This window comes from Homo sapiens, chromosome 11 (genome assembly GCF_000001405.40).
Source record: "Homo sapiens chromosome 11, GRCh38.p14 Primary Assembly".
NCBI classification, from domain to species: Eukaryota; Metazoa; Chordata; class Mammalia; order Primates; family Hominidae; genus Homo; species Homo sapiens.
In genome coordinates, this window is record NC_000011.10 from 73,214,856 (window position 1) to 73,242,428 (window position 27,573).

General features: G+C 55.0%; 1 protein-coding gene and 1 long non-coding RNA gene across 5 annotated transcripts, besides 6 other annotated features; one reads left to right on the top strand and one right to left on the bottom strand.

The window, feature by feature from the left end:
• On the bottom strand, positions 1–3,338 carry LOC124902709 (uncharacterized). Of its 2 annotated transcripts, XR_007062773.1 has the most exons (3): positions 3,172–3,338; positions 988–1,184; positions 1–333 (listed from the first exon to the last, which is right to left on the bottom strand). It is a non-coding gene; the product is annotated as an uncharacterized LOC124902709 (long non-coding RNA). The 2 variants fall into 2 exon arrangements; XR_007062772.1 differs by having other exon boundaries at positions 988–3,338.
• Positions 3,260–3,978: an enhancer, noted in NCBI's record as "H3K4me1 hESC enhancer chr11:72929160-72929878 (GRCh37/hg19 assembly coordinates)". NCBI's record gives its function as "activates a minimal SCP1, AML or CMV promoter by ChIP-STARR-seq in primed H9 embryonic stem cells {active_cell/tissue: H9 hESC(primed)}" and the evidence as "EXISTENCE:reporter gene assay evidence [ECO:0000049][PMID:30033119]".
• Positions 3,337–3,546: a silencer, noted in NCBI's record as "silent region_3736". NCBI's record gives its function as "represses an Ori minimal core promoter by ATAC-STARR-seq in GM12878 lymphoblastoid cells {active_cell/tissue: GM12878}" and the evidence as "EXISTENCE:reporter gene assay evidence [ECO:0000049][PMID:35858748]".
• P2RY2 (purinergic receptor P2Y2) lies at positions 3,426–27,572 on the top strand. Of its 3 annotated transcripts, none has more exons than NM_176072.3 (3): positions 3,426–3,577; positions 13,126–13,320; positions 19,167–27,572. In NM_176072.3, exon 3 carries the CDS (start codon positions 19,305–19,307, stop codon positions 20,436–20,438), a length of 1,134 nt encoding a protein of 377 aa, NP_788086.3. In that variant the 5' UTR covers positions 3,426–3,577; positions 13,126–13,320; positions 19,167–19,304; the 3' UTR covers positions 20,439–27,572. The 3 variants fall into 3 exon arrangements, with proteins under 3 accessions (NP_788086.3, NP_002555.4, NP_788085.3); NM_002564.4 differs by having other exon boundaries at positions 19,301–27,572; NM_176071.3 differs by lacking the exon at positions 3,426–3,577 and adding an exon at positions 3,707–3,801 and having other exon boundaries at positions 19,301–27,572.
• Positions 3,979–4,697: an enhancer, noted in NCBI's record as "H3K4me1 hESC enhancer chr11:72929879-72930597 (GRCh37/hg19 assembly coordinates)". NCBI's record gives its function as "activates a minimal SCP1, AML or CMV promoter by ChIP-STARR-seq in primed H9 embryonic stem cells {active_cell/tissue: H9 hESC(primed)}" and the evidence as "EXISTENCE:reporter gene assay evidence [ECO:0000049][PMID:30033119]".
• Positions 22,354–22,403: an enhancer, noted in NCBI's record as "active region_5227". NCBI's record gives its function as "activates an Ori minimal core promoter by ATAC-STARR-seq in GM12878 lymphoblastoid cells {active_cell/tissue: GM12878}" and the evidence as "EXISTENCE:reporter gene assay evidence [ECO:0000049][PMID:35858748]".
• Positions 22,989–23,283: an enhancer, noted in NCBI's record as "tiled region #2548; HepG2 Activating DNase matched - State 5:Enh". NCBI's record gives its function as "activates a minimal TATA promoter and a strong SV40 promoter by Sharpr-MPRA in HepG2 cells {active_cell/tissue: HepG2}" and the evidence as "EXISTENCE:reporter gene assay evidence [ECO:0000049][PMID:27701403]".
• Positions 25,467–26,217: an enhancer, noted in NCBI's record as "H3K27ac-H3K4me1 hESC enhancer chr11:72951367-72952117 (GRCh37/hg19 assembly coordinates)". NCBI's record gives its function as "activates a minimal SCP1, AML or CMV promoter by ChIP-STARR-seq in naive H9 embryonic stem cells {active_cell/tissue: H9 hESC(naive)}" and the evidence as "EXISTENCE:reporter gene assay evidence [ECO:0000049][PMID:30033119]".

Here is a 27,573-nt window from a genome sequence, read left to right on the forward strand (position 1 = left end):
TAGAGTTCTTACTCATTCACTCATAATATATTGTGACAAATGTTCAGGGACAGGGGTCAGGTACGGTGGCTCACGCCTGTAATCCCAGGACTTTGGGAGGCCAAGGCGGGTGGATCGCTTTAGGCCAGGAGTTCAAGAACAGCCTGGCCAACATGGTGAAACCCTGTCTCTACTAAAAATACAAAAATCAGCAGGGTGTGATGGTGCACACTTGTAATCCCAGCTACTTGGGAGGCTGAGGCAGGAGAATCACTTGAACCCAGGAGGCGGAGGTTGCAGTGAGCTGAGATCACGCCACTGCACTCCAGCATGGATGACAGAGCAGGACTCCATCTCAAAGAAAAAAAAAGAAAAATTATTCAGGGACAGTGCTAGGTGTTGGCCATTTAATTGTGAACAGAATGGAACCTGGCTCTGCTCTCAGAGAGATCCCTGTTAGAGGGGGAGACAGGCAGTGATAGCAATAACAGCATGGTAAGTGGTGGGGCACCTGGCCTGGGTCTTCGAGGACCCATGGTGGGGAGCCAGAAGCAGGGGGCACTGTGGGCAGAGGGAGCAGCAAGAGGCAACAGGAGGCTGGTCAGAGGTGAGAGGTGAGGCAGAGAGGCAGGGAGGCTGGAGTGGCAGGCTAGAGAGCTAGGCTTTATCCAGAGGATGGTGGAGCCACCAGAGAGTGTAAGGCAGGGTATGGCATCAAGGGGCAACAGAGACACCACTGTACCCTGGGAAGGGGGGATTGGAGCCTGGGCCAGGGCAGAGGCTTCATCCCCAGCATGCATTTTCAGAGCAAGTTTTCCCAGGGGCAATGAGAGAAGTTGAGAGAAGGAGGATGAAAAGGCCTGAATGAGCCAAATACCTCCTCAGGGCTGGAGAGACAGGAAGCCTCCTAATACATGGGAGAAGCTGAGGCTGGAACTTTGCCCTTCCCCTCCTGATCTGCTACTGCTAATGGAACCCTCCTCCCGCCCCCATGGTTCCATTACCCACCTCCAGGGGACCATTACTGTGCCTGGGCCTTCACCATTAGCCTGCCTTGGCTGCTTGGTTCCAGGGAGACTCCCTCGATGCTATTCCAGCCTTTCAGATGGCCTGTTGTGTGACGCTGGCTGTGTCTCAATTTCCGGTTTGATCAATGGTTTTACATTACTTCAGCCACAAAATCTTTCATGTGCTTGCAACAAATTCTTACCAGGAAATGTAAATAAATAAAAATACAAAGGCAAAGGTGCTCAAGTTGAAGTGGGATGGGAGTTCCCCAGGCAGCCCCAGGTAAGGGGGACTCTGTTGGGGGATTTGAAGCCTGCTGGGCTTGATGGCCTCTGAAACCCAGCGATGGGACTGCCTGGGGAGGATGTCAGGAGACGAAACTTCTAGGCCCTCATTGCATGGGATACTAACGCCTTGAGCCCAGACAGCTTGGGATGATGAATAAAACCATGAAAAAAGAATTTAAGGATAGGGTGCAGGGGCTCATGCCTGGAATCCCAGCACTTTGGGAGGCCGAGGCAGGAGGACTGCTTGGACTCAGCAGTTTGAGACCAGCCTGGTCAACACAGGGAGATCCCATCTCTACAAAAAATTTACAAATTAGCCCGGCATGGTGGCATGTGCCTGTATTCCCAGCTACTTGGGAGGCTGAGATGGGAGGATCCCTTGGCCCTGGGACATAGAGACTGTAGTGTGCTGTGATCATGCCACTGCACTACGGCCTGGGTGACAGAGTGAGGCCCTTTCTCAAAAAATTTAAGACAGGCCAGCAAGTGAGAGATTAGTATTACTCCCTTTTGCAAAAGAGGAAACTCAGGCTCAGAGAGGAGTCATAGGACAGGTGAGGTAAGACTGGAATCTAAACCCAAGGCTATGGGGTTCAAGGACTAGGCCCCTTCCTCTGCTCCTCAAGCCTCACTAAGTCACCTGTGTGGTAGCTGAAACGCTGTATGTCTCAGGAATGCAGTTTCCTCAGCTGTAAAGTAAGGGAATTGGGCCAGAGCAGGGGCAGAGCCCTGGGCAGGCCACCAACCAGATTTGCCCGCTGAAGGCTAAGGTCGAGCCTGGGTCCTCAACTTGGCGTCAAAGAAACTTGTTTCTCCTGGGCTAAATGGCAGTGACAGTATAAGGTTTGAAGTTTTGGAAGAGGGGAGAGAAAGAGAGGGTTGGCTGGAGTTCCAGTGCCCAAAGGGTCTTCCCCACACTGGAACCTGAAGGCCTAGGCCCTATAACTCGGGCTATGAGGATACTTAGGTCCCTGGAAGGTGCGTGGCCCAGCTTAGACAATAGGCGCAGGAGGCTAGACAAGGGGCCTTTGTGTCTCCCAAGCAAAGGCCCCAGCAGGACTGCAGAGGCGGCTCAGCCACTATGGGCTGTGTGTCCACTCTGCTACTGCTCCTGGTGGGGCTGCAGCCAGCACCCTTCCTGGCAGCCAGGCCCAGTCAGCTGATATGGAGCCCAAGAGGGCCCAAGGCCCCGAAGGCCCGGGGCAAGTTCCTTGGCTACAGGAAGAGGCCTCCTCTGCACTTGTCCAGCCAGCGGAGCGATTGGCTCCATTTCACAGGAAAGAAGACCCTGCCAGGGAATGGAACTGGGTCAAGGTCTCCCAGAGTCAGTGCTGAAGCCAGACAGGAACCTACACTCCTGATTCCTAGACCAGAAATGAGAGAGAGGCGGGGTGCTCATTCATTCATCCATTCACACCTTCAAGGATTGAGCACCTCCCAGGACCTCTAGGACAGCAGCAGGAAGAAGGCAGACCTGGTTCCTGCCCTCGGGAGCTCACAGTCTCCGAACGGGTCAGACATGCAGCCGGTAGCCCGACCAGGGAAGGCCATTAGAGTGGGGTTGACGACAGAGAAGAGAGGTAAAGCAGCTCAAGATAAGGGGCCAGAGTGGGGAGTTCAGGGAGCTGCTGATAAGATTAAGGCAGGGAAAGTGGGGAGCACGGGAGAGGCGGGATCCTGAGTACCCTGCTTTCCTAACCACGGTAATGGAGAGAGGCACCCCCTTCCCCCACTTTCAAGCAAGGGAGGTACGTCCTTAGCCTGGGGTTCCGAGCAGGTATCTCCCAGTAGGTCCCTTCCTGGCCAGCCGGGCTGGGGCAGGGGCGGGACAGGGGTAGGGTGGCGCGGTGGCTGGGCGCAAAGGTCCCGCAGTGGGCCACGCAGGCACCGGGCTGACCTGGCAAAACTTTGGCGTCTCTGAAAACCTCTGGTAACCAGCTCCCTTCTAGCGTGAGGGAGCCGGGAGGCCTCCTTCTGGCCCGGCAGTGAGAGCGTCGCCGCCCGACCCTCCCGTTGCAGCACCGGTACAGACACGCTGACCCCGCGGCCTTGTCGCTGGGCGGCGTCCCGGAGCGGGTGGCGCGGTGTCTACCCGGGCGGGTTGAGGGCGGTGCCAGGGTCAGTCAAAAGTCCGCCCCGCCCCCTGCCTGGCCCGGCTTCGGGGTTGGGGAACAGCGCAGGGAGGTGGGTAGCCGGGCTCCCAGGCACGTGGGTCTCTGCGGCTGCGGCGGGACCCGGGCACTGGCACCCGGGAGCGGCGGCGACGGCACCCTGAGAGGAGAAGCGCAGCGCAGTGGCGAGAGGTGGGGTGGGGCGTCTGGAGGGAACAAGGCGCTGGGAGAGGCCCGGGGAAGCGGCGGGCCAGACTGGCGCAGGTGCGGACTGGGCGCGGGGCAGGGGAGGGCGCTGTGGAGCGGCTGTCGCCCCGGGGCACAGTTGCGAGCCGGCGTGTAGCGCATAACTGGACGGCTTGAACGCGCCTGTGGGTCCGTGGTTGAACTTTGTCTCCACGGGAGCGTCGGTCTCGGTGAGTGTGGACGGGCGCCCCAGTAGTGAGGCTGTGCGCGTCAGCGTACTGGGGAGGTCTGCGTGTTAGCGGGTGAGTGTGTGCGCCCCTCGGGGCGACTGGCCAAGCCTGCGGAACTTGTCTGTGTGTGCTCCGATGTGAGCGTCCCCGTGGCGTGAGGCGGTGGCCGGTGCCCAGAGACGCGAACCCCTGGAGACCCCCTACCACTGTCCTAACCCCAGGGTCACTCTGGGTGGCCACCTACCATTGGTAATGTTGAGGGGGCAGTTGCAGGGAGTGGGCGGGGGAGGAGGGAGTGGCCAGAAAGGACAGTTAAGCCTCTGTCCCCGGGCTTTTAATCTGGCAAATGGTGCGGTAGAAAGGGTCAGTCAGGAGAAAGGCGATACCCCACCCCCCAACCCGAAGGCTGCCAGTGGCCCTCTTGGGGTCCTCCAGGAGCGCAGCCCAAGGGTTGGGGACTGCTGGAGACCAGAATTGCCAGCTCGGGATTTGTGGGGTCCATGGCTGCTGTTCCTCTCAGCATGGCATCCCCAGCTTCCCAGGACCACAGCCTGATCTGCCTGGTTTGTTTTGGATCTAAGCTGAAATAATTATGAGTTTTGAGGATCTGGGTGGAGACCCAGGCAAGTTTATTACCTGTGGGTGGAAGTGGAAGGAAGAAGATTCTCTGAGCAGACAGGTCCACAAGAGAGCTCTGGAGACTCAGAGATCTATGTTCCAATCCTGTCTTGGCCACTGTGTGGCCTGGGCAAGCCGTCCTTTCTCTGAGCCTCAGTGGCCTCGTCTGTAAGAAGGGACTAATGATAAGGAATTTGAGGGCTGTTGAGGAGCTGATGAGTGTGTCATGTTCAGCACCAGTGTCCCCCCATGGGCAGGCTCACAGCTTGGGGATGGGAAGTCAGTCCCTGGAAGGAGCCTCCCAGAACCAGAATCCCAACTGTGCCCCTCCCTAGGGCACAAGCCTTCCACAGGACCAAGCCTGAACCCTGTAGCCTGGGACTTAAGGTATTTGATAACTGGGGCCTGCCAGCCTTTCCAGCCACCTCTCCCGCCTGACTCTTTACCTTGCAGCAGCTGCCTGGAGTCTCTCATTTCTTGCCCCTGGCCTGTTGCATATTCTACACTCCCTCTCTGATAAGCCCTCCTACTCTCACCTTCCTCAACTGGAGAACTACCCAGACTTGGGACCCAGCTCAGATGTCCTCTCCTCTGGAAAGCCTTCCTTGATCCCTACAGCTGGGTTGGAGCCTCTTCTAGGCCCCTACAGGCCTGGGGCTGACAGCCCTGGTCCCACCTGAACCGTCATGATCTATGTCTGTCTCCTCCTTTCCTCTTCCCAGGTCTAGGGGCTCCTGGAGGGCAGAAACTGGGTCTTATTATTTCTGTGTTGCCAGCACCCTGCACAGGGCTGAGCTGAACTGAGAGAGCAGCAGTGGCGCCCATCCCCTGTCTCTGGCACCAGCTTCTCCAGTAAAGGCCCGGCTGCAGGGGAGCTCCATGTCACTACAAAGAAGGGCAAACCAGAATCTGGTTATCAAAGTGGGTGGCACAGTTTGCCAGAACAGTGTGATCTGGGACACTGTAGGACCTAGAGTGCCCAGGCTAAAGACCTAGAGATTTTATCCTGAAGGCAATAGGGAGCCATGGAAATTTATGAGCAGAGGTGTTTCATGGTCAGAGCGGCATTTCAGAAAGCGCTCTCTGGCTGCAGGATGGAGAATGGATCAAGTATTGCCAAGTGCAGGGAGGTCAGGGCATTTGTGATGTCAACACTAGAACTGTCCCAGGAGTTGTTTGAACCCTAATTGAGCCCTTGCCCCTTGGCCAAACACTTTTCCCTGAGCCTTCAGATGCTCCTGCTGAGGAATTTGGGGACCTGCAATTGATCTCATCCCAGCTCTGTTCCCAGCTGGTTGAATGACCAGTTCCTGCCCTGCCAGGCTCTAAAAGGAGGCCAGAACAAGTAAGATCCTGCATGGGAGAGTATGTGTGTGGGGAGGCTCTGGCACAAAAGGCTTGTCGCTCTTTCTCCTCTTCTCCCTGCCTTGGGCTGTCTTGGAGTCTGGTCAGAGGGGTTGGGGATCCCAGTGGGCAACCCTCAGAAATGACTACCAAGCTTGGGCTGTGGAGTGAGGCTGTGACTCCTCTGTTTCTGTCTCCCTCCTGCCCTGGATGCATGGGGCTCTAAGGCTGTGGATCCCCCAAGGACCAGCTAAGAAGGTGTGAGGGTATCACCAGGGCCTCATGAGTGACCCCATGAGAGCTTTGACTTAATGGCTATAGTCTTTAGAGAGGCCATTGTCCCTCTCTAGGTGTCAGTTCTGCCATTTGTAAATTGAGAATGGTGATCCTTGCTTCTTTGAGAGCAGAGTTGCTACGAGGATTAAGATAGTGACCAGGGAAGAGCTTTATAAGCCTTAAACTGCAGTGCTCAGAGGAGGAATGTGACACTTGTAGACTTAAATCCATTTTGAAGACTATAAGAGAACATGGGTGCAATAGCAAGGGATTGTGCTTGTTATTGAAATTTGATTACTGAATGCCTTCCTCCCCCACCCCCTCTGCAGAGATGGCTTCACTAGTAACGATTTACAACAATCCATTTTGTCTTCCTATAGCCCTGTGAGGGAGGAATTGTATCTCCATTTTGCAGATCAGGAAATAGAGGCATGGATTGTATCCTGCCCAGGGTCACCAAGCTGAGGTGAAACCTGGGGCTCCAGTCCACCTGCCAGCTTAGCCCTCCCCATCTGAGACAGAGCCCTGTTAGGGTTAGGCCTGGTCCTCTGGCTTCCAGGCTGAGGGGAGTTTGAATTCTGCCCTGGGAACCTGTGTTTGGGGCTTTCTTGTGGCCAGATTACCCAACTGCTGATAAGGTAACGCCTGCCCAGACCTGCCCACGGGACCAGAGATGCCTTGTTGATCTGGTGAGGGGAGTGGGGGTTGCCCCTCATGCCTTCCACCCAAACCGCCTCTCCCCAAACTGCTTTCTGTAGGCCTGCTTGCTATACCCTCTGGGCCACACCTCCTCTTGGTTGTCCTTGGGTCCTGAGGCCTGGCCTTCCCTTATTACTGGGCCCTGATAGGAGGAGGCTGGCTGTGTGGGCCACTCTGACCTCTGTACTCATCCAGCGGCCAGTTGCAGGACTAGGCTAGGCCATACCTGCTTTCTCTCTCTGTCCCCATCAGCCACCACAGGTTGGGCTCAGAGCAGCTGCCAGTGGGTCTTTGGGAAATGAGTGGCCAGGCGGGAGTAGGCATGGAGTAGAAGGGGAGGCTTTGCTCCACGGAGTGCCATAGTTGGTTCTGGAGCAGAGGAGTTCCTCCACCCCATCACCCCATCTCCTAGGCCTGAGTCTTTCCTGGTCCAAGATGAGTAGCGGGAGTTTCTGGTAGGAGGGTGAGCAGCCTGGGCCCCGTGGAACAACTCCTTGACCCTCTGCCCTGGTACCTTGTCACTGTCATTGTAGCTCCTGAATGAGAGGCCTGGGTGCTGGAGTGAGGGAAAGGGACCTCCCTCAGACTTCTGGGGCTTTATGTGGCCTCTCCCTCCCCAGGTCTGAGGAGAGCCTCTGGGTGTCGACCTGGCTTCCTGGTGAGTGCCCAGCCACCCAGCCCTGGCTTGTAGGAGGGGGACTCTTGCCATGGCTGGGCTGTTGCAGGAAATCCAGGGCCAAGGGACCTGCTCCTCTCATGGCACCACCGTATGTGTCGTCTCCTCCTTGGTCTCCCTCCCTCCAGACTCCCTGTCCCATCTACCTTCCATGTGGCACCATCTTTGTAAAGGTTGACTCTGACCATGTCCTTCCCCTCTTAAGCCTTCCATGGCTCCTCAGTGTCCTTAGAATAGAGGCCAAGCTTTTCAGCCTGGCATTTGAGCCTTTTCAAGTGAATTCCTCAGGCTCCCACACATTCCATGCCACCTCACCCTCCACAGTAGCCGTATAAGACCTCCCAGCCTTTTTCCAGCAGGTCACACTTTCATCCACCAAGTCTTTGCTCATGCCTCTCCTGCCTTCAGAGCCCTCCTCCCTCTTTGCCCACCTGACAAACTCCTAATCATCTACCAGTTTCCAGCTCAGATGACCCCTCCTCTGCAGAAGCACTCCCTGACCACCTCCCCCAGGCCAGGTAGGAGTTGCTGTGTGCTCCATAACCCCTGGGCTTGCCTTGGTTATGGTTTATTCACCCAAGTGGATTTGGTCCATGTCTGTGTCTTTTTCCTCAGCCTGACTGGGTACTCCTCAAGGGCCCAGCAGAGTGCAATCTGAGTCTGAGTTCACAAGGTCCATCTGAGGCCAGGTGCACCAGAGCATTGGCAAGTGTTTGCTGGGACTTTGTGGTTCCTGGGAATGTGATTTAAGATTTCATTACTCTGAATCCAGACCCCTGTGGCTCTGAGAATCTCAAAACCAAAGGCTATCAGGAGCAACGAGTAATAGAATTGAAGAAACACAGCCTTCACACCCGGAACCAGAGCCTCTTGGAATTAGACTGCGAGAACCAGGGAACTCAGAATCCTGGAGGTACCTGGAGGGGCCATCTCAGAATCAGAGGCTCATGTGGTTCCTGGTTGATGCTTTCATCCCCCTTTCCACCTTGGATTCTCCATCCACCTTCTTTCCTCCCAAGCTGGACCCTTCCTGCTCCTCCTCAAATCTTATCACAGTTCCCCTTCCAGGGACCTTGCCTGACTGCTCTGACCATGACCTCTGTCCCTCTGCTGGGGAACACCTGGGAGGGCCTCCCTACCAAGCAGTGTCATGGGCTCCTGAATTTCAGTGTCTCCCTGTTGTGACAGGCAGACACAGCCTCCACATTAGGACAGTTCATGATTTGCTAGCGCCAAGGTGCACCCACCTGCCCCCTTGTCTTATTCCTCATGAGCTGTCCCATGCAGCAGTGATTCTCCCCATCTGACCACTGAAGAACCCGAGGCTCTGAGAAGGGGGGCTGACTTCACCAAGACTGCACAGCACAGGTGGCTCCAAGTTAGAGCCTGAACTCACGGTTCTTGCCTCTTGAAGCTGGAGGCATTTGGCTGTGATAGGTTGGGGTGGTGTCCAGGACGTTGTGGTTCTGAGCCTGTTTAATTTAGTAGCATGTCTCTGTAGCCCTGTTCTGGGCTATGCTGGGTTCCAGGTGAGATGGGTGGTTTGGGGTCCTGCTCTATGTTGGGGGTGAGGTGGTCAAACCCACACTGACAATAATTGGAACACTAGACCTTGAGTAAGGCCCTTCCTCTTTAGAGGTCTTGGCTTTCTGATCTGTAAGCCTGGTTGATCTGAGACTTACCCACTCTGATGCTGCTCTGAGCTCAGCCTTGGTGAGTGGCCTCCACAGCCAGGATCCTAGGGGGGTCCCAAAGAGGGAGAGAACATCTGGGAGGGGGTAGAGAGCCCAAGGGCCTCCTGAAGGGGGTGCCTAACACCACAACAGCACCGGCTGATAGCATCTGAGGTTACCCCTTAGCCATTTCCTCAGACCGGCCCTGGTGCTCCCGGTGCAGAAGCATGTCAGGCAAGGCAGGGGGCCTGCTGGCTTTCAGCCCCTTGAAGGACATTGGGGAGGAGCCAGCGTGACTTCTAAGCTCCTCAGCCTGTGCACTCTAGCCTTGCCCTCTCCACTCCCCTCAAGCCACCAGGATGATGAGCAGTTCCTCAAACGTGTCATGTCATCTCTTGTTCATCCTCACTCTGCTCCTCTTCTCTCTCCAACCACCTGACTCCTCGTCTTCCAAAATGCAGGTCAGGCGCTCTCTCCTCCAGGAAGCCTTCCCTCATCACCCCTCCAATCCTGTTAGGGGCCTCCTTGGCTTCCTCCAGGCCTGATCACCCTGTGTTATCATCGCCTGTTTCTGAGTGTGCCTCCCCTGACGTTGACAGTGAATTCCTTGAGATCTGACCTACCTCAGAGTCCCCAGGTGCCCTGCCCAGCAGTGGGCATAGATGTGGCAACCTTTGTGAAGGGTGAGCGAGTGAAAGAGTATGGTGGCTATCTGGCTTCTGCTGGGGAATCCCTGGACTGCCTTCCCCCTGAGGATGGCCTTCAGTGTGGGAGACCTGATCTGTGGTTTTTCTGGTTGTGACCTTCCTGTATCCCCTTCCCATAATTCCTGCGAAGCTTCCTGCCCTTCTTGTCTTCCTGAGATAACCCCACCCTCCATGCCTTCTTTACCTGCTGAAATATTCTCTCTTACTATTTCATAAAATAAGCCTAAATCATCTAACTAGCTCAACAACCTTCTGAGGCAGGTACTGTTCTGATATTGAGAGGAAATTGAGATCTGGGTTTTGGAGTTAAGAGACTTGTCTTACCACTGGAAAGAGGAGAACTCGGATTTCCCACCTGCCTAGTGCCTCTCTTGCCCCCTCAATGAGGTTCTGGCACTAGGTCCTCTGTTTTCCCTCACAGCACCCAACTCCTGGCAGAGATAGGCAGCAGGGGTCTCCACAGTGGTGACAGCACATTCTCCCCTACCAGGCTAGACAGGGTCTGCCACCAGCCAGGGAGGCACATTCCAGAGCCACTCTAGTGGAGGGGCTGGAATGTCATCCAACCACCCTGGAAATTCTGCAGTGGCCTGGGAGCTGCCCAGCTCCTCCTCCTGACTTTGGCCTCACTAGCCTAGAACCACAAAGAGAAAGGCCCAGACTGGGGTAGGGGCAGAGCCAGGTCAGGGGGTTACAGGTCTGCATGCTAGGCTTGGCTCTGCCCTTGGCTCACTGGTGACCTTGGGTGAGACCTTGAGCTACCCCTTTCTGGCCTTAGTTTTTCTACCTGTGAGATGGGTGCAATAACCACCCATCTGAAAAGAGTAAATCCTGAGCCCTGCCAATTGGCATTCCTCTGGCAGAGAACTGAGCAGACAGGCAGAGAGCTGTGGGGCCAAAAAGGGATGGTCAGGCAGCTTCCTGGGAGAGGGCCGGGGCCTTGCAGGGCAGGAGGTAGTGGTCAGGGGCACAGCCTCTGAAATCAGACAGCCCAGAGTGGCTATGCCGTTTGCTAATTCAGGATTCAACGAGAGGAGGTATATGAAGCCACCTAACACAGAACTTGGCACAGGGACAGCACTAAACTCTTGTTGTGATATAGGTGTTAGATGATAAGGGAGGCCGTCTCTGAGCAATGATATGACCATGGGACTGCTTTTGTTGTGCCTGAGACAGGAAGATGAGGGCAGGGACAGAGAGGATGGGCTTTCTGGAGGGATGGTGGGTACCAGATCAGCCAGGGCCTGAGTGCCAGGCTGAGGAGCTGGGACAGTTGCCTGAGGGCACTAGGGAGCCACAAACATGGCTCAACAATGTATGGTAGGATTCGTGTTTCAGGAAACTACATGACTGCAGTGTGAAAGGTGGACAGACGGGGCAGGGGTGGAGGCACGGAGGCCAGTGAGGAGGCTGCTGCTGTGGACTGTGGAAGCACAGGCCTCGGGCTGCAGTGTGGGGACCGCGTAGTGCATGTCCGAGGAATTTCACTGGTTGGACTAACAGGGCTTGGTGAGTGGTGGGCTTCCAGCAGGGTGGGGAAGAGGGAGGTTGTCCAGGCTGTATCAGAGGTTTGAAACCTGGAAGGATGGTGGGGGCCCTTCTCAGAAATGAGAACCACTTGTGGAAAGTGATATTCTCCATTTTAGCCTGTTGAGTCAAGGCATTTTCTAAGGAGGAGGAGACAGGGTGTGCACCTGGGTGCAGCAGGGTGAAAAGGCTGACCATCCCTCACCTTGTCATAGTCTCTAGAGTAGATCAGTGGGGAGCTACCAGCCCACCGGCCTTGTCAATCTGAGACCACCAGGCAAGGTGCACTCAGTAAGCAGTGGCCCAGAGGCATTTCCCGTGTGCACCCACGCCCCCCGTACCCAAGCTATTCCTGCAGTGCCCCCATCTCCTCTCCCACATCCCCCCAGCCTTGTACTGCACTTCCAGCTTGGGAACCTGGGCTCAGCTGTCGCAGGCCCACTCCTCCATCCTAGGCAAATGAAGATGGAAAAAGAAAAACTCAGGAGGTGCATGTTCTATTTCTCCTGTGAGGTACCTGAGGTGCTGGTGGAGGGTGGGACCTGCCCACACAGAAGGTCCCCTCCACCAGGCAACTGTCCCCTCCCTGAAACCCTGTGCTTGGTGTGCACAAGGGGCTCCAAGGTGAGACAAAAACCACGGCCAGAATTCGGGAGGGCTGGGCTCTAGTCTTGGCTCTGTCCCTGACTTACTGTGAGGCTTGGGCCTCAGTTTCCTCCTCTGTGAAACAGGGTTTGACACAGGAGATTTCTTTTTTTTCTATATATATATACTTTAAGTTCTGGGTTACATGTTCAGAACGTACAGTTTTGTTACACAGGTATACACATGCCCTGGTGGTTTGCTGCACCCATCAACCCATCACCTACATTAGGTATTTCTCCTAATGTTATCCCTCCCCTAGCCCCACAACCCCAACAGGCCCTGGTGTATGATGTTCCCCTCCCTGTGTCCATGTGTTCTCATTGTTCAACTCCCACTTATAAGTGAGAACATGCGGTGTTTAGTTTTCTTATCTTGTGATAGTTTGCTGAGAATGATGGTTTCCAGCTTCATCCATGTCCCTGCAAAGGGCAGGAACTCATCCTTTTTTATGACTGCAAGTATTCCACGTTGTATATGTGGCACAGGAGATTTCTAAATGCCATTTTAGGCCCTGATGGTCTAGACTGTGTGTGTGTGTGTGTGTGCATCCGTTTGCGTCCACTGCATGTACACCTTAGTGTGACTCTGCATGCCTCTGTGTATCCGTGTGTCTTGGTGTGTCTGTGCCAGTGTGTGTTCAGGTGTGGCATATGTGTGTTTATAACACCTAACGAGGAATGCTTAGAGGTAGGAGTGGGGAGGAGGGGGTCTCTAGATAGAAACCTAGCTTGGGCAAAATTGTATTGGCAGAAGGGCAAAAGTGTGTTGGCAGAAGGACAATAGAATGCACACTGGGCAAAGAGGGTATTGACTTTTCCTGCTATGGGGCCAAAGCACAGAACCAGGACCGAGGGAAGGGACACTGGAGGCTTGGAGGCTTGGCTCAGCTGTACAGGACATGGGGGAGACCTTCCTCCAGGCAGGGCCACCCCTCTGTGAAAGGCGGCCTGGGGAAGGGGGTTGTGGATAACCCATTCCTGGAATGCATGAGCTGGGGTTTGGGTGTACAGAAGGCACTCAGACCAGGACAAACACCAGGCCACCTCTCTGCCTCCTTCTGGTTAAGGTTACCACAAAGGAGGTGGCCCTGGGGGGGATTGACCTGGGTAGGTTTCCATGACCCTGAGACCGCACTTTCTCTACCTCCCTCTGTCTGCAGGAGCCCCTTGTGGCAGCAGCACTACCTGCCCAGAAAAATGCTGGAGGCTGGGCGTGGCCCCAGGCCTGGGGACCTGTTTTTCCTGTTTCCCGCAGAGTTCCCTGCAGCCCGGTCCAGGTCCAGGCGTGTGCATTCATGAGTGAGGAACCCGTGCAGGCGCTGAGCATCCTGACCTGGAGAGCAGGGGCTGGTCAGGTACGTGGGGTGGGGGTGGGGGGGAGCGGGTACGCTGGCCGGGAGGTGAGGGCGGGTGTGCTGTCTTGCCTGTGTCTGCCCTGAACTGGCTTAGATCAAGCGGATCTGAAGGCAGGTGCCCTGCCCTGCTCCCCCATCCCAGGCTGTGATGAATTCAGGCTTTGAAGCCAGATAGCTCTGGGTGTCAAGCCTAATTTTTCCAATGCCCGGCAGTGTGACCTTGTACAAATAGCTTAACCTCTATGGCAATATCTACCAAGGGATGGAGGTGGGGGATGAAGATGCTGTGTGAAAGCTGCTCAGCCCAGGTCTGGCCCTTACAAAGCAGGGTGGGTAGAGAATCCTGATCAGACCTATTGAGGTCCTGAGCCAGGCCTCAGACAGCCAATCCATCTCCAGAGCGCCCATGTCCAATCCCCTCCCACTGGCACTTCCCTGACCTGTCCAGAGAAAGGCAGAGTCTCCTGGGCTCCTGTGGCAGTTGAAGGAGAGACAGTCTAGAGACATAAGCAGGTTCCAGGTGGACCAGAACCCCTAGAGGGGCTGGGTTGTCCCCTGGTTACTTAGGGTCAGCAGCTAAGAAACCTTTAAGCATTTTTGTCCTTGAGAGGCCCTCAGAGGAGCAAGTAATTTGTAAGTAACTTGATCAAGGTTACACCACGGGGGATGGGCTGCAATTCCTATTCAGGTCCATCCCACAGTGGAAGTGGCTGCAGGAGGTAGGTAGTGAACTCCCTGTTTATGGGAGTGTGCAGAGGCTGCAGAGGGCTTGTGCCTGTGTGTGCCTCCTCTGGGCCCCCATAGCCTCTTGTGCTTGCTTCATTCATTCATTCATTCATTCATTCATTCTCTCATTCCTGTAATACCTCCTGTGGTCAGGCCTCCTGCTGGATGATAGGGACAGAGAAAAGCATCAGATGGACCCAGCCCTCAAGGAGCACCTGAAATGTGTTGGGGTAGAGGATGGAAGGACAAATTACCAACTGGCTGAGAAACGTCCTGAGGGGTGATGGAAGGGAGAACTTCAGAGATTAGAAGATCCTTTGGGACCTACAATGGGGTGCAGTGTGGGTGGGTTCGGGGAAGGCTTTCCAGTGAGAAAGAACAGCATGAACACAGGCAGGGGAGCCTGGAAGGGTCTTACAAGGCTCACATCTCCCCTCCAGACTGGGAGCTCCTTGGGGCAGGGCCAGCCAGACCAGGGCGCAGCGGGGCTGGTGAGCGTTGGATAGTCAGGTGGAGCCGTCTCTAGTCCCAGGGGCATCAGGGTCAGGAGAGGCAGAAGGGAGACTTAAGGGAGGGGGCTGGGGACTTGGCTGTCCCTCTAAGGCAGGGGCTGTCCCTCTAAGGCAGGGCTAGGAAAGATATACTCACAGGTTGGTGAGCCAGCCTGTAGAATGAGAGGGCGGGAGGGGTGAGTCTGGCCCAGGGCCACGGCGATGGAGTCCCCAGCTGGCCTGGGAGGGTGGGGGCCAGGGTGTCTTAAAACAGGCGGAAGGGGCAGCTCTCTTAATTCAAGGGAGACAGGGAAGTCTCCACCCCTCATCTCAGTGTCAGAGATTCCACTGTTAGGGATTAGCAGGAAACTCTTCATGCAGGGTGATGAGATGTTTATGTTGACTGTGAAGGGAAGTCAGGCCTCGGCACGGGGGCAGAAACAGAGCAGTGGCGTGAAGGGGAGACTGGGTGTGTGTGTCTGCATCATGGAGGAAGCCCCCTCCCTGTCCAAGTGGGGCAGAGGACCTCCCGGGGATATTTTGGGGCTGCAGTTCTCAAGGCTGTGGGATTTGACTAGTGTCTGAGACTTGGGAGGGAAGGAAATGCTTGATGTCACCTGGCGTTTTGTGGCAGAGCTAGACTCGAACCTCGGCTTACTGATACCCAGGGGAGGCTCTGTCCTGGGAAGGAATGTGGCCTCTCCGTAGCTCCTTAGTCTCGCAAGGGGGCCTCTCCTTGCTCCTCCTGCAGCTTCTGTGAGCCAGCGACTCTCAGCTGGCCTTCCAAAGCTCCAGACCTGAGGGACCCAGCCTGTGCCCATCCCCATACTTGCCATGGCTGACACTGCATTCCTCCTCCCCACCGTTCCTCCATCAGGGAACAGTCTCCAGAGCCTCCCTCCCAAACATCTCTCCCCTCACAGGGCCCAAGGCCTTCCCCTGCTTGGCTCTCAGTGTCACTCCCCTGGCTCACCACAATCACCTCCACAGCCTCCAGTCCCACCTCCACTGTGGCCAAAGGTTTCTGGAAAAGGCCACCGCTAGCTGAACCTTGGCACTCATAACACCACCGTGGGCCTACTGTGTGCCAGGCTCTACTCCAGACATTTTATGCAAATGACTCGACCCTCACAGCAGTCCCATGGTGGAGATTCTAGTAATTGTCCCATTTTACAGCTGAGGAAACAGAAGCAGTCTGGCTCCAGCGCCCAGGTTCTTAATCACTGGGTTCTCTGCACTGAGGGATAAAGAGCCGTGAGTTTAACAGGTGGAGACGAGGGCTATGAATGAACTCCAGGTAGAAGAAGCAGCAGCAACTAAGGCTGGGAGGGGAGAGTCTTGGGCACATTCAAGAAACTGCAGGTCACAGGGGTTGGGGCGGGTGAGGTTGGCAGAGGCTCAGTTATGAAAACCTCAGGCACCAGACTTGAGGGCTGGGCTTTCTCCTGAAACAGGGTAGGAGCGGCAGGAGGATTTCAAGTAGGGGGATGCTTTCTTTGAGAAAGGCCACTCTGGATTTTTGTGGGTGGGTGGGTGGGGGTGGCGCTGGAGGAGGGAAGCCAGTGCAGTGGTTCCAGCAACAAGAGGTAGAGCCTGGAACGAAGTTGGCAGCAGGAACTGTCCTGACCCTGGGTAAGACGGGTCTCAGCCACTTGACCTGCCAGAGCCCCAGCATCTACCTGTCTCTTCTTAACTTGGCACCACATAAGCATCTCCCGGCCTCCTCGCCCTGGTTTTGCCCTGGCTCCTGGGGAGCCATCTGTGTCCATGGCAGGGGGAACAAGGGTGCAGGCCCCCTTCCTTCTGAGTAAACATTTGCTGACAATAGGAGAAAGAGAAGATCTGGGAGTCTTGGTGAAAGAAGGGAAACTGGCCAGGCGCCATGGCCCACACCTGTAATCCCAGCACTTTAGGAGGCCGAGGTGGGTGGATTGCTTGAGGTCAGGAATTCGAGACCAATGTGGGCGACATGGCAAAACCCCATCTCTACTAAAAAATACAAAAAAAAAAAAAAAAAAGCTAGGTGAGGTGGCACACACCCGTAATCCCAGCTACTTGGGAGGCTGAGACATGAGAATTGCTTGAACCCAGGAGACAGAGGTTGCAGGAAGCTGAGATCACGCCACTGCATTCCAGTCTGGGTGATGGAGTGAGAATCTGTCTCAAAAAGAAAAAAAAAAAAGAAAGAAAAAAAGAAGGGAAATTGAAGGATCTCTACACCCCCCAGCACCCCTAATCTCAGCCTCTTGGGCCTTGAACTGCCTCCGGGAAGCCAGGGCTGGAAAAGCAGCTCAGGGTCTATGGGAGTAGAGGTTGCAGGCCCTGCAGAGTCCCCCAGTCCCTTAGAACTCCAGGATCTAAAATAAAGGGAATTATTCCAGGCATGATGGCTCACACCTGTAATCCCAGCACTTTGAGAGACTAAGGCGGGCAGATCACTTGAGGTCAGGAGTTCGAGACCAGCCTGGCCAACATGGTGAAACCCCATCTCTACTAAAAATATAAAAATTAGCCAGGTGTGGTAGCATGTGCCTGTAATCCCAACTACTCAGGAGGCTGAGACAGGAGAATCGCTTGAACCTGGGAGGCAGAGGTTGCAGTGAGCCGAGATCAGGCCATTGTACTCCAGCCTTGGCAACAGAGGTGGACTCCGTCTAAAAATTAAAAATTAAAAATAAACAAATAAAATAAAATAAAGGGAATTATACGGCCCCAGATTCTCAGGATGAGGAGGACTCACTCTTCATCTGCCCTTTCCACCCTCCCAGACACACCCCCACACAGGCACAAGCCCTTCTGCAGCCTCTGCTAGAGAGCCACTTGCATACTCCCATAAACAGGGAGTTCACTACCACCCTCCTACAGCCACTTCCAGGGGCTGGACCTGGACAGATATTGCAGCCCATCCCCAGTGGCATGACCTTGACCAAATAACTTACATGATCTGTATCTTAGCCTCTTGATTGGAGAACTGGGGATGGTGACTTGGCCCCCAGAACACATCATATGGATAAAGTGTAGTAACTTTTTTTTTTCTGAGACAGAGTCTTGCTGTGTCACCCAGGCTGGAGTACAGTGGCATGATTTTAGCTCACTGCAACCTCCACCTCCTGGGCCCAGGTGATCCTCCCACCTCAGACTTCCGAGTAGCTGGGACTACCACCACACCAGGCTAATTTTGTGTGTGTGTATTTTTAGTAGAGACAGGGTTTCTCCATGTTGGCCAGGTTGGTCTTGAACTCCTGGCCTCAAGTGATCCACCCGCCTCAGCCTCCCAAAGTGGTGGGATTACAGGTGTGAGCCACCGCGCCCGGCCTAAGTGAATAACTTTTAGAAAGCATGCTTAGTAGTAGGGTTTGAAAAATGTTAGCTCCTCCTGCCCCTTCACACTGCTAGAAAGTGCTTTTTTGTGTTTTTCTCAAACTTGCCCACCCAGGACTTCTGCTATGATTTCCAACCTGCCTCCTGGGACGTTAGGCACGTCTTTGTCTTCCAGGCCGGGATGTCTGTCCTCTACCTCCCAGCTGCGAGAGAGCTCTTAATTGGTCACCTGGGTAGGGGTAAGGAGGAGAGGGAGGGGACAAGCTGCTCCCTGGGCACTCACTGTCTGTTGGATGGTCAGTCCCCATGGGTGTGTTATATGCTCAGTGGGGACAAGGTTGGGGGGGACACCATGATACTGACGATATGCAGAGAGAAACTGGATAGGCATGGAAGAAGCTGCATTTACCACACAAAAGAAGATCCCTTGGCCCCCTATCCCTATCTCCAACCCAGATTTCCCTGGACTCTTCACGGGGGTTACTTCAGGGGGATTCCCTGGTAGCCTCACAGGCTCAGGGGCAGGACTGCTGTTGATAGATATAGAAAGTGCCAGAATAGAGGAAGATGTAAAAAGTGAAGGAATAACTGAAGAAGGAGACCCTTGGAAATACTTCCTCAAATACCAGAACACTAGGCATGGGCCCAGAGCCTCCCAGAGAGTGGGAAAATGAGCTGGAGAGAACTCTGTAATGCCTGCAGGGGGCTGTTGGATGCCCACTGGCCAGAAATGCCTCTGCAGGCAGTAGGCATTGGGTGTGAAGCAGGGCCAGCCAGCCTCAAAGGCCCCTTCCCATGAACTCAAAATTACCTGCTCTGGCACCCCCAGGTCCTCAGATTCTAGAGCTCAGAATCCTAGATCTAAAACTCTGATCCTGAGGTTCTAGAGAGGGGTAAGAAAACTTCAAGTAGCTGGGACTACGGGTGTGTGCCAGCATGCCTGGCTAATTTTTAAAAGAATTTTGTAGAGATGGGGTCTCACTTTGTTGCCTAGGCTGGGCTTAAACACCTGGTTTCTGCCTTGGCCTCCTGAGTGGCTAGGATTATAGGCATGAGCCACCGTAGCCAGCTTGAGCTAACTTTTTTTAAAGGTCAGATAGTGAATATTTTAGACTTCACAGGCCATATGGTCTTTATCACAACTACTCAACTCTTTGTAAACAGATGGGCACCGTTGTGTTCCAACAAAGCTGAATTTACAAAAGCAGACTGGATCTGGCCTTTGGACTATAGTTTGTCTACCCCTGTTCTCAAGTTTGACAATTGTGTGATCCTGATATTTATTCATTGATCTCATGCATTCTCAAGGTTCCAGAGCTTGGAGGTTCCAGGTCCAGATCCAAGTCAGATGGCAATGAAAGCCCTGGTCAGGTGGCTGTGTCAGGTCCCCTAGGGGCGCTCCGGCCACAACCCTGATGGCCCCACCCCTCCCTTCCCTGCAGGGCGATGGCAGCAGACCTGGGCCCCTGGAATGACACCATCAATGGCACCTGGGATGGGGATGAGCTGGGCTACAGGTGCCGCTTCAACGAGGACTTCAAGTACGTGCTGCTGCCTGTGTCCTACGGCGTGGTGTGCGTGCCTGGGCTGTGTCTGAACGCCGTGGCGCTCTACATCTTCTTGTGCCGCCTCAAGACCTGGAATGCGTCCACCACATATATGTTCCACCTGGCTGTGTCTGATGCACTGTATGCGGCCTCCCTGCCGCTGCTGGTCTATTACTACGCCCGCGGCGACCACTGGCCCTTCAGCACGGTGCTCTGCAAGCTGGTGCGCTTCCTCTTCTACACCAACCTTTACTGCAGCATCCTCTTCCTCACCTGCATCAGCGTGCACCGGTGTCTGGGCGTCTTACGACCTCTGCGCTCCCTGCGCTGGGGCCGGGCCCGCTACGCTCGCCGGGTGGCCGGGGCCGTGTGGGTGTTGGTGCTGGCCTGCCAGGCCCCCGTGCTCTACTTTGTCACCACCAGCGCGCGCGGGGGCCGCGTAACCTGCCACGACACCTCGGCACCCGAGCTCTTCAGCCGCTTCGTGGCCTACAGCTCAGTCATGCTGGGCCTGCTCTTCGCGGTGCCCTTTGCCGTCATCCTTGTCTGTTACGTGCTCATGGCTCGGCGACTGCTAAAGCCAGCCTACGGGACCTCGGGCGGCCTGCCTAGGGCCAAGCGCAAGTCCGTGCGCACCATCGCCGTGGTGCTGGCTGTCTTCGCCCTCTGCTTCCTGCCATTCCACGTCACCCGCACCCTCTACTACTCCTTCCGCTCGCTGGACCTCAGCTGCCACACCCTCAACGCCATCAACATGGCCTACAAGGTTACCCGGCCGCTGGCCAGTGCTAACAGTTGCCTTGACCCCGTGCTCTACTTCCTGGCTGGGCAGAGGCTCGTACGCTTTGCCCGAGATGCCAAGCCACCCACTGGCCCCAGCCCTGCCACCCCGGCTCGCCGCAGGCTGGGCCTGCGCAGATCCGACAGAACTGACATGCAGAGGATAGAAGATGTGTTGGGCAGCAGTGAGGACTCTAGGCGGACAGAGTCCACGCCGGCTGGTAGCGAGAACACTAAGGACATTCGGCTGTAGGAGCAGAACACTTCAGCCTGTGCAGGTTTATATTGGGAAGCTGTAGAGGACCAGGACTTGTGCAGACGCCACAGTCTCCCCAGATATGGACCATCAGTGACTCATGCTGGATGACCCCATGCTCCGTCATTTGACAGGGGCTCAGGATATTCACTCTGTGGTCCAGAGTCAACTGTTCCCATAACCCCTAGTCATCGTTTGTGTGTATAAGTTGGGGGAATTAAGTTTCAAGAAAGGCAAGAGCTCAAGGTCAATGACACCCCTGGCCTGACTCCCATGCAAGTAGCTGGCTGTACTGCCAAGGTACCTAGGTTGGAGTCCAGCCTAATCAAGTCAAATGGAGAAACAGGCCCAGAGAGGAAGGTGGCTTACCAAGATCACATACCAGAGTCTGGAGCTGAGCTACCTGGGGTGGGGGCCAAGTCACAGGTTGGCCAGAAAACCCTGGTAAGTAATGAGGGCTGAGTTTGCACAGTGGTCTGGAATGGACTGGGTGCCACGGTGGACTTAGCTCTGAGGAGTACCCCCAGCCCAAGAGATGAACATCTGGGGACTAATATCATAGACCCATCTGGAGGCTCCCATGGGCTAGGAGCCAGTGTGAGGCTGTAACTTATACTAAAGGTTGTGTTGCCTGCTGAGCTGTGCCCTATTGTGTGGTCGGGGGATGAGGATATGGCAGGGAAGCTTTCACCAGCCACACAAGGGTCCTTTCTCCAATCCGTTCCCTTCTGCCACCTGCCTTCTCACTAGCTGTCTCAGGAGTAGTCTCATATCAGGGATCCTCTCTCCAGGCCCCAGGTCATCCCCCACTGTAAAGCCAGTTGGCTTCTGTGCCTGACTCTGTGCTGAGCACAGAGAAAAGTCAGGTGCAGTCCCAGTCCTTGAGATTTCCCAGTTTAGGTGATGGCCAGTCATGTGCTGGTAAATGTTAAGCCATTTAACTGGAGCTCCGATTTAACTGGGAACCCCTTCTTTGTAGAACTGCCCATTTCCATGGTGCAAAAACTCTTATGGCCAAATTCAAACTATAAACATGATGTCAACTTCCTTGTAAAATTCCTGAAAATTTAACAATTGGTTCTTGCAAGCAGGTACAAGTCACTCTAGCACACCACTGGATAATGCCGAGTGGCTGGGGCTGTGAGCCAGGGGGTCAGGGAAGGGTTCCTGGAGTGGGAGACTCCTGAGCTGTAGCTTCTGAGAAAAGCAGCTCACCGGAAGAACATCCACACACAGGATGCATCCCAGGCAAAGACATGGGGCAAGAGGGCAGGGTGTGCATGAGCCATAAGCAGGCTGGACAGCTGACTCCAGGCTCAAGGCAGGGTTGGGGCTGGGTCACAAGGAGGCCAAGTTAGGGCTCCCTCCTTGCCCTGACCCTGAGGCTTCCTTTGCACTGGGGGTAAATATGAAAGAGATTCACTCCTCCTCCTGTCCATCGTCTGCCTTCTGGGAAAATCCCAGAATGGCAGGGTGGTGCTCAGGCTGGGTCAGGACTTAGTATGGGGGAGATGGGTCTCACCTATGATAGGTTCTGAGTCTAGCCAGGACCACTCTGGGCTGACGTGTGGCGCTCAGCTGGACAGGGCCCCGCCCTAGCCTTTGGAAAGGGACAGGGCAAAGCTGACAGGCCTCACTCTTGATCTCAAGGACAGGGACTCCCTCCTCTCCCTCTGGGAGAGCCCTCGCCCTGTGGCCCACTCTGCCTGCCCCCTCTGACCTCTCCACCCTTCCCACTCTGCCTTGTGAAAGGCAGGACATCCCCAAAGCTTGCTGTATTTGGAGCCTGACTCCACAGCGCCCTCATGTGACAGAGACCCATCACAGACCATGACCCAAATGATTACTCTGTACTGTGCCAGGTGGGTGACCTGCCCAGAATAGTGTGAGCTATTCACCTCTCACCTTCTAGGTTCTATACTTCTGTTAATGTAGCCGATGTCCTTCTGAGTTTTTTTTTTCTTTTTGAGACGAAGTCTTGTTCTGTCACCCAGGCTGGAAGTGCAGTGCTGCGGTCTTGGCTCACTGCAACTCTCTGCCTCCCGGGTTCAAGCAATTCTCCTGCCTCAGTTTCCCAAGTAGCTGGGATTACAGGTATGCGCCACCACACCTGGCTAATTTTTGTATTTTTAATAGAGACAGGGTTTCGCCATGTTGGCCAGGCTGGTCTCAAACTCCTGACCTCAAGTGATCCACCTGCCTCAGCCTCCCAAAGTGCTGGGATTACAGGTATGAGCCACCGCACCCGGCCCCTCTTGAGCTTTCTTAATGATTGCCTGTTACAAACCACCCTTGAGCCTTTCCCACAGGCCCGAGCCACTCCACAAGGACACAGGAGGGGCTCGTTCACCATCTAATCCTGTGGCAGGCACAGGTGGGGGTGGATACTGGAGACCCTGGGTGAACCAGGGGCACCTCTGGAACCCAGTTGGACTGCCTGGCCCCTTGGTATGCACGTCCCACCTTGCTGCTCAGTGCCCAGGCCACTTGCCTTGTGGGTGAAGTTCCTGCCCTGATGCCTCATGCTATTTTCAGCCCAAGTAAGACCATAATTTTCCACTCCTGGCCCCAGACCATTGTCCAGCAGTGACGTGAGGGGATCTGCCTGCCCTCAAAATATCTCCTATTACCCTCCAATATTCCCTGCCCCCTTCACACCTCCCTAACCTGACATCACTTCCTGGGCTGTTGACTCATGAAGGCCACTGTGAAAGGGCACGTGAGTTGCCCATCCACTGAGCAGACCCCAGGGATTATCCAGCCCAGCTGCAGACTCAAGGCCAGAGATGGGCAGGGCTGAGCCCAAGGTCATTCAGCAGGTCAGCGTGGCGCCTGGATGTAAGCAAGTGCCTTGGTGACGATCCTGCTGTCACTCACACTGCCCAGCTCTTCCTGCCCAGGGTGACTGGGATGGAGCCATAGACCTGAGGCCAGGGACAGGACAGGGATGGGAGGAAAGGGAGGGTAGAGAGTTGAGTGTCAGGGAGTAAATGTCTGCTGATGTGCCTGCAGCAGCTGTTCTCAATGAACTGCATGACATCAGGGCAGGGTCCCTGGCACACAGGGGTCTCTGCCCTGGGTGGCAGGTGTCCCAGGGTCCAGGAGGGATGGAGGAACCCCAGGGTACATTCCCACTTTCACCCCCTGAGGTTAGAAGAGGCCCTAAGCAACATGTTATCCACACATGGTTGCTCCAGGTCAAGTCACCAAAGCTACCTCTCTGTCACCCTTGTCATGGCAGATTTGGGCTGCTCTGTTTAGAATCAGGCACATGAGGGAGGGAAGTCGTGTATTGACCCATGTCCCACGCACCCTCTCATCTATGTTATATGGTGGATGCTTCACAGAAGCCCTGGGAAGTAGATGCTATGATCCTATTTAGCAGATGAGGAAACAGGAGAAGGGCGTGAGAAGTGAGGACTTGTTCCAGGTTATCCAGGCTGTCAGGGTGAGTCAGAGTGAGTCCAGGTTCACCTGATGGCCAGAATCATGCCCTTTATAGTGCCCCACGACACTCACAGCCCTGCAGGGCAGAAGGGTCTATAAGTGGCCCCTCGCATGATTCAAGATGACAGAGGCAGTGTAGCAAGGATGTGAGAACACAGATGCTCCACCCAGACCACCTCAGTGTCAATATTGTCCCCACTTTCCTGGCTGGGGTCTCTTGGGCAAGTTACCTAATCTTGCAGCACCTCAGTTTTCCCATTTCTAAAGTGTGCTGCTACCTTCCATGCAGGGCGTTGAGGGGCTTCCCTACGTTATTACGCACAAAGTCCTCCTCACAGTGCCTGGTGTGTGGTCAGCATTTATATGCCTGGCACCAGGCCGGGGGCTATGGAGGCAAATCAGCTGGGCCCTGCCCTCACAGAGTTGACATCACTTAGTACGTAACCACATTGGGATACATGTTTTGAAGGAGAGGACAGTGTGTCTGGCCAGTGAGCAACAGTGGGCCATACGTCTCCAGGGAACCCCCGTGGGGTGTGGGAGGAGGGAAGCAGGTCTGTCCTGGGGGAATGTGTGGGACCACCTCTGCCCTGCTTGGCAGTAGGTGGATTTCAGGACCATGGGCCTGTGCTGTTTACAGAACCTTGTCCAGGTGCCCAGCTGTGGGAGGGCAGCATGGAGAGGAGGAAGAGGGGGCCCCTAGTAGCAAGCTTCAGAAACTTGCCACTTCAGGCTAGAGAGCTCGCACCCTCCCACGGCAGCAGGGTAGCCATTTCTCCCTGACTGGGGTGTCCACCATGGTGCTCTGCAGCCACCTCTCACTTCATTAAGAGTCCACAGATCTAGGAGCAGAGGACTGGTCTGGAGCTGGGCAAGGGCAGGCAGCAAATGGGGAGTTTTTGCTGTGTGACCTGAGGTCACTTGCCTGCCTTCTCTGGACTGCACTGTAGGGCCTGGAGACCTGTTCCCCTGTTCCAATTTCCCCACCTCAGTGAAGGCACAACCAACAGCTGCTCCCCGGGCATTTCCAAGACCCTCCAGGCCCCCAGCTCTGAGGACTAGGGTGGAGGCAGTGTTTCTCCCCAGCATCAAGTGACCAGAGAAGTGAAGTGACCCCACTGCCGCCACACAGAGCCACACAGTGCGATGTCTGGAGCTCCTGCCTCCTGCAAGGTGGAGGGTGGGGCTTGGCCAGGAGTGACCAGACTACAGAGTGAGGGGTGTGCTTGTGGGGGTGAAGGGTTGGGGTGAGAACTGAGCCCGAGTCGAACTCATCCTCCTCTGCCCTGATGCACTGTGCAACTTGGGGGAGTCACTGTCCCTCTCTGGGCCTCGCTTTCCCCATCTTCGATAGGACTTGGCTCTGCCTGGCCACTCCTCCTCCAATGGGGGAATTCCTGGGCTTGCCTCTGTCTTGGCTCCAGCTCAGGTGTCAGTCTCAGCCCTGTCCCAGCCAGGAACAATGGGCCAGGCAGGGCCAGTCACCCCCTGTCCCTGGGGGCTCCACCCACGGCCCTGGACTATTTTCAGCCCTTGCAGATGGAGTCAGAAGAGGATTTTCCACTCCCAGTACAATGACTGCCCTGGACCATTGTCCAGCAGTGACGCGGGGGACCTGCCTGCCCCAAAATATCTCCTGCCCCTAGTTTCCAAGCCTCTTTGCCCTGCTCCTCACCTCCTGGCCCTGCTCCTTACCTCCCCACCCTGATGTCATTTCCTGGGGCTCTTAACTCCTGAAGGCCATTGTGAAACATCACGTGAGACTCCTGGGAGACACAACCAGTTGGAATGAGTTTTCCCTCCTGGCAGGGACCCCAGGGATTGTTTGGCTGCTTAGTGGGACTGGTGGCCCAGAGAGGGCTGTGCCTTACCCAGTCACACAGCAGTCAGTGTGAAGCTTAGGTGTAAGCCCAGGGCTCTTTGGCTGCTCCCACTGCCTCAGCCAACTTCATTAGCTCCAGTCTGTGGCTCCTGGACTGGAGCTACAGTGGTGAGAGCTCACCACTGAGCTTCCTGGGATGGGCACCTGGGATAGCAGCCCAAGTGGTGTGGGTGGAGAGGTGCAGCTCATGCTCTGACCTTGGAGTGAGCCCAGTGCAGGGGCCTGACCTTAAACCCTTTCTCCCCACTGAGTCCCATTTTTACCAAATGTGGCTGTTAGGAACTGAATGTTTGTGTCCCCCGCCCCACAAATCCATATGTCAAAATCCCAACTGCCAAGGTGATGGTATTAGAAGGTGGGGCCTTTGGGAAGTAACCAGGTCCTAAGGGTGCAGCCCTCATGAATGGGTTTAGTGCCCTTACAGAATGGACCCCAGAGAGCTCCTCACCCTCTTTCCACCATGTGAGGATATAATGAGAAGTTGGCAGTCTGCAACCTGGAAGAGGTCCCTCACCAGATCCCAACCATGCTGGCACCCCGATCTTAGACTTCCAGTCTTCAGAATGGTGAGAAATAAATGTCTCTTGTTTCTAATCCACCCAGTCGGTGGCATTTTGTTATAGCAGCCCACGCTGACTGTGACTGAACTCAGGGTGACAGAGCAGCAGCTCTGGGGCAAAGGGGAGGGTGGGGGCCACAGGGCAGCTGATGCAGGAGCAGGGCTCTGGCACAGTTCAGCCATCACCAATTCTGGGACTGCAAATTCAGTTTCTTCATCTGGAAAATTGAACTGGTAATACCAATACCTCTTTTCCCGGTTTACTAGACAGAGACAATGCAGTGAGGCACAAACATGCAACTGTTTGATTTTCCTCCCACCCATGCTCCCTGCTCAGTGACGTGTGATTTTCCTTTCCCATCCATAAACTGCGCATTTGGCAAACTCCAAACTTTTGAGTCACTTTTGGGTAACAAAGTCAGGTTTAAGATTTCCATCGCCTGCTTAATTGAATGCTCACCTGTCCTCTTCCCCCATGCTGTGAGGACCTTCATCACTCCTCTTCTGGGTCCCTCTCTCCTCTAGGTGTTGGGGCAGGGTGGGGAGGAAAGGGACCAATGTGTCTTTCCTGGTGATGCTACAGCCCTCTCTTGCTGACCTTGCTTCCTGGGCCATCAGTGCCCCCTGCACAGAACTCTCCAAACATCAGTCCACACCTTTGTAAAAACAGTCTCTCCGCTAAGCTATCCCAAAATGACCTGATTAGAGTGTGCAACGTCTTTCCTGCTGGGACTCTGACTGATACCCTGGTCTCCCTGAGTGATTTTCCTGCACACCCTGCTGGGGATGTGGAAGCCTGTCCCCCTCCCACCCCACACCCCACACTTGGCTGAGATCTCACAGTGGCAAAGATGTCTTTGAATCCATGGTGCCCAGGGTTCAGCGTGTAGAGTGAGGTGGGGTGTGTAGAGAGCTGGGGCAAGGAACCCTGAGAAGATGTCTTACCCCAGTTGTTTCCAGGTTTCTTTAGAAAGCGGGCTATTTTACCCCATGTGTCCTCAGATTTATGTCCTGGAACCAAATTCCAAATCAGCAGCCACATGAAAAGTCCCCTCCTCTCTGGCGTGGAATTAAACTGTTAGACCTGCCTTTGTGACCAAAGCAATTGTAAAACGTGGGGGAGGAAATTAAAAGCCTGCCACCTTAGTCCACACAGTGTGTGCTGTCTCTGTGTGTGTGCACGTGTGTTTATGTGTGTGTTGAATGATCACATGTTCCAGGGAGGATGGTGAGGGGCGAGGGGC

Bases quoted from the DNA above. Each gene is read 5' to 3' on its own strand.
- P2RY2 (NM_176072.3), top strand. From the start codon at position 19,305: ATGGCAGCAGACCTGGGCCCCTGGAATGACACCATCAATGGCACCTGG.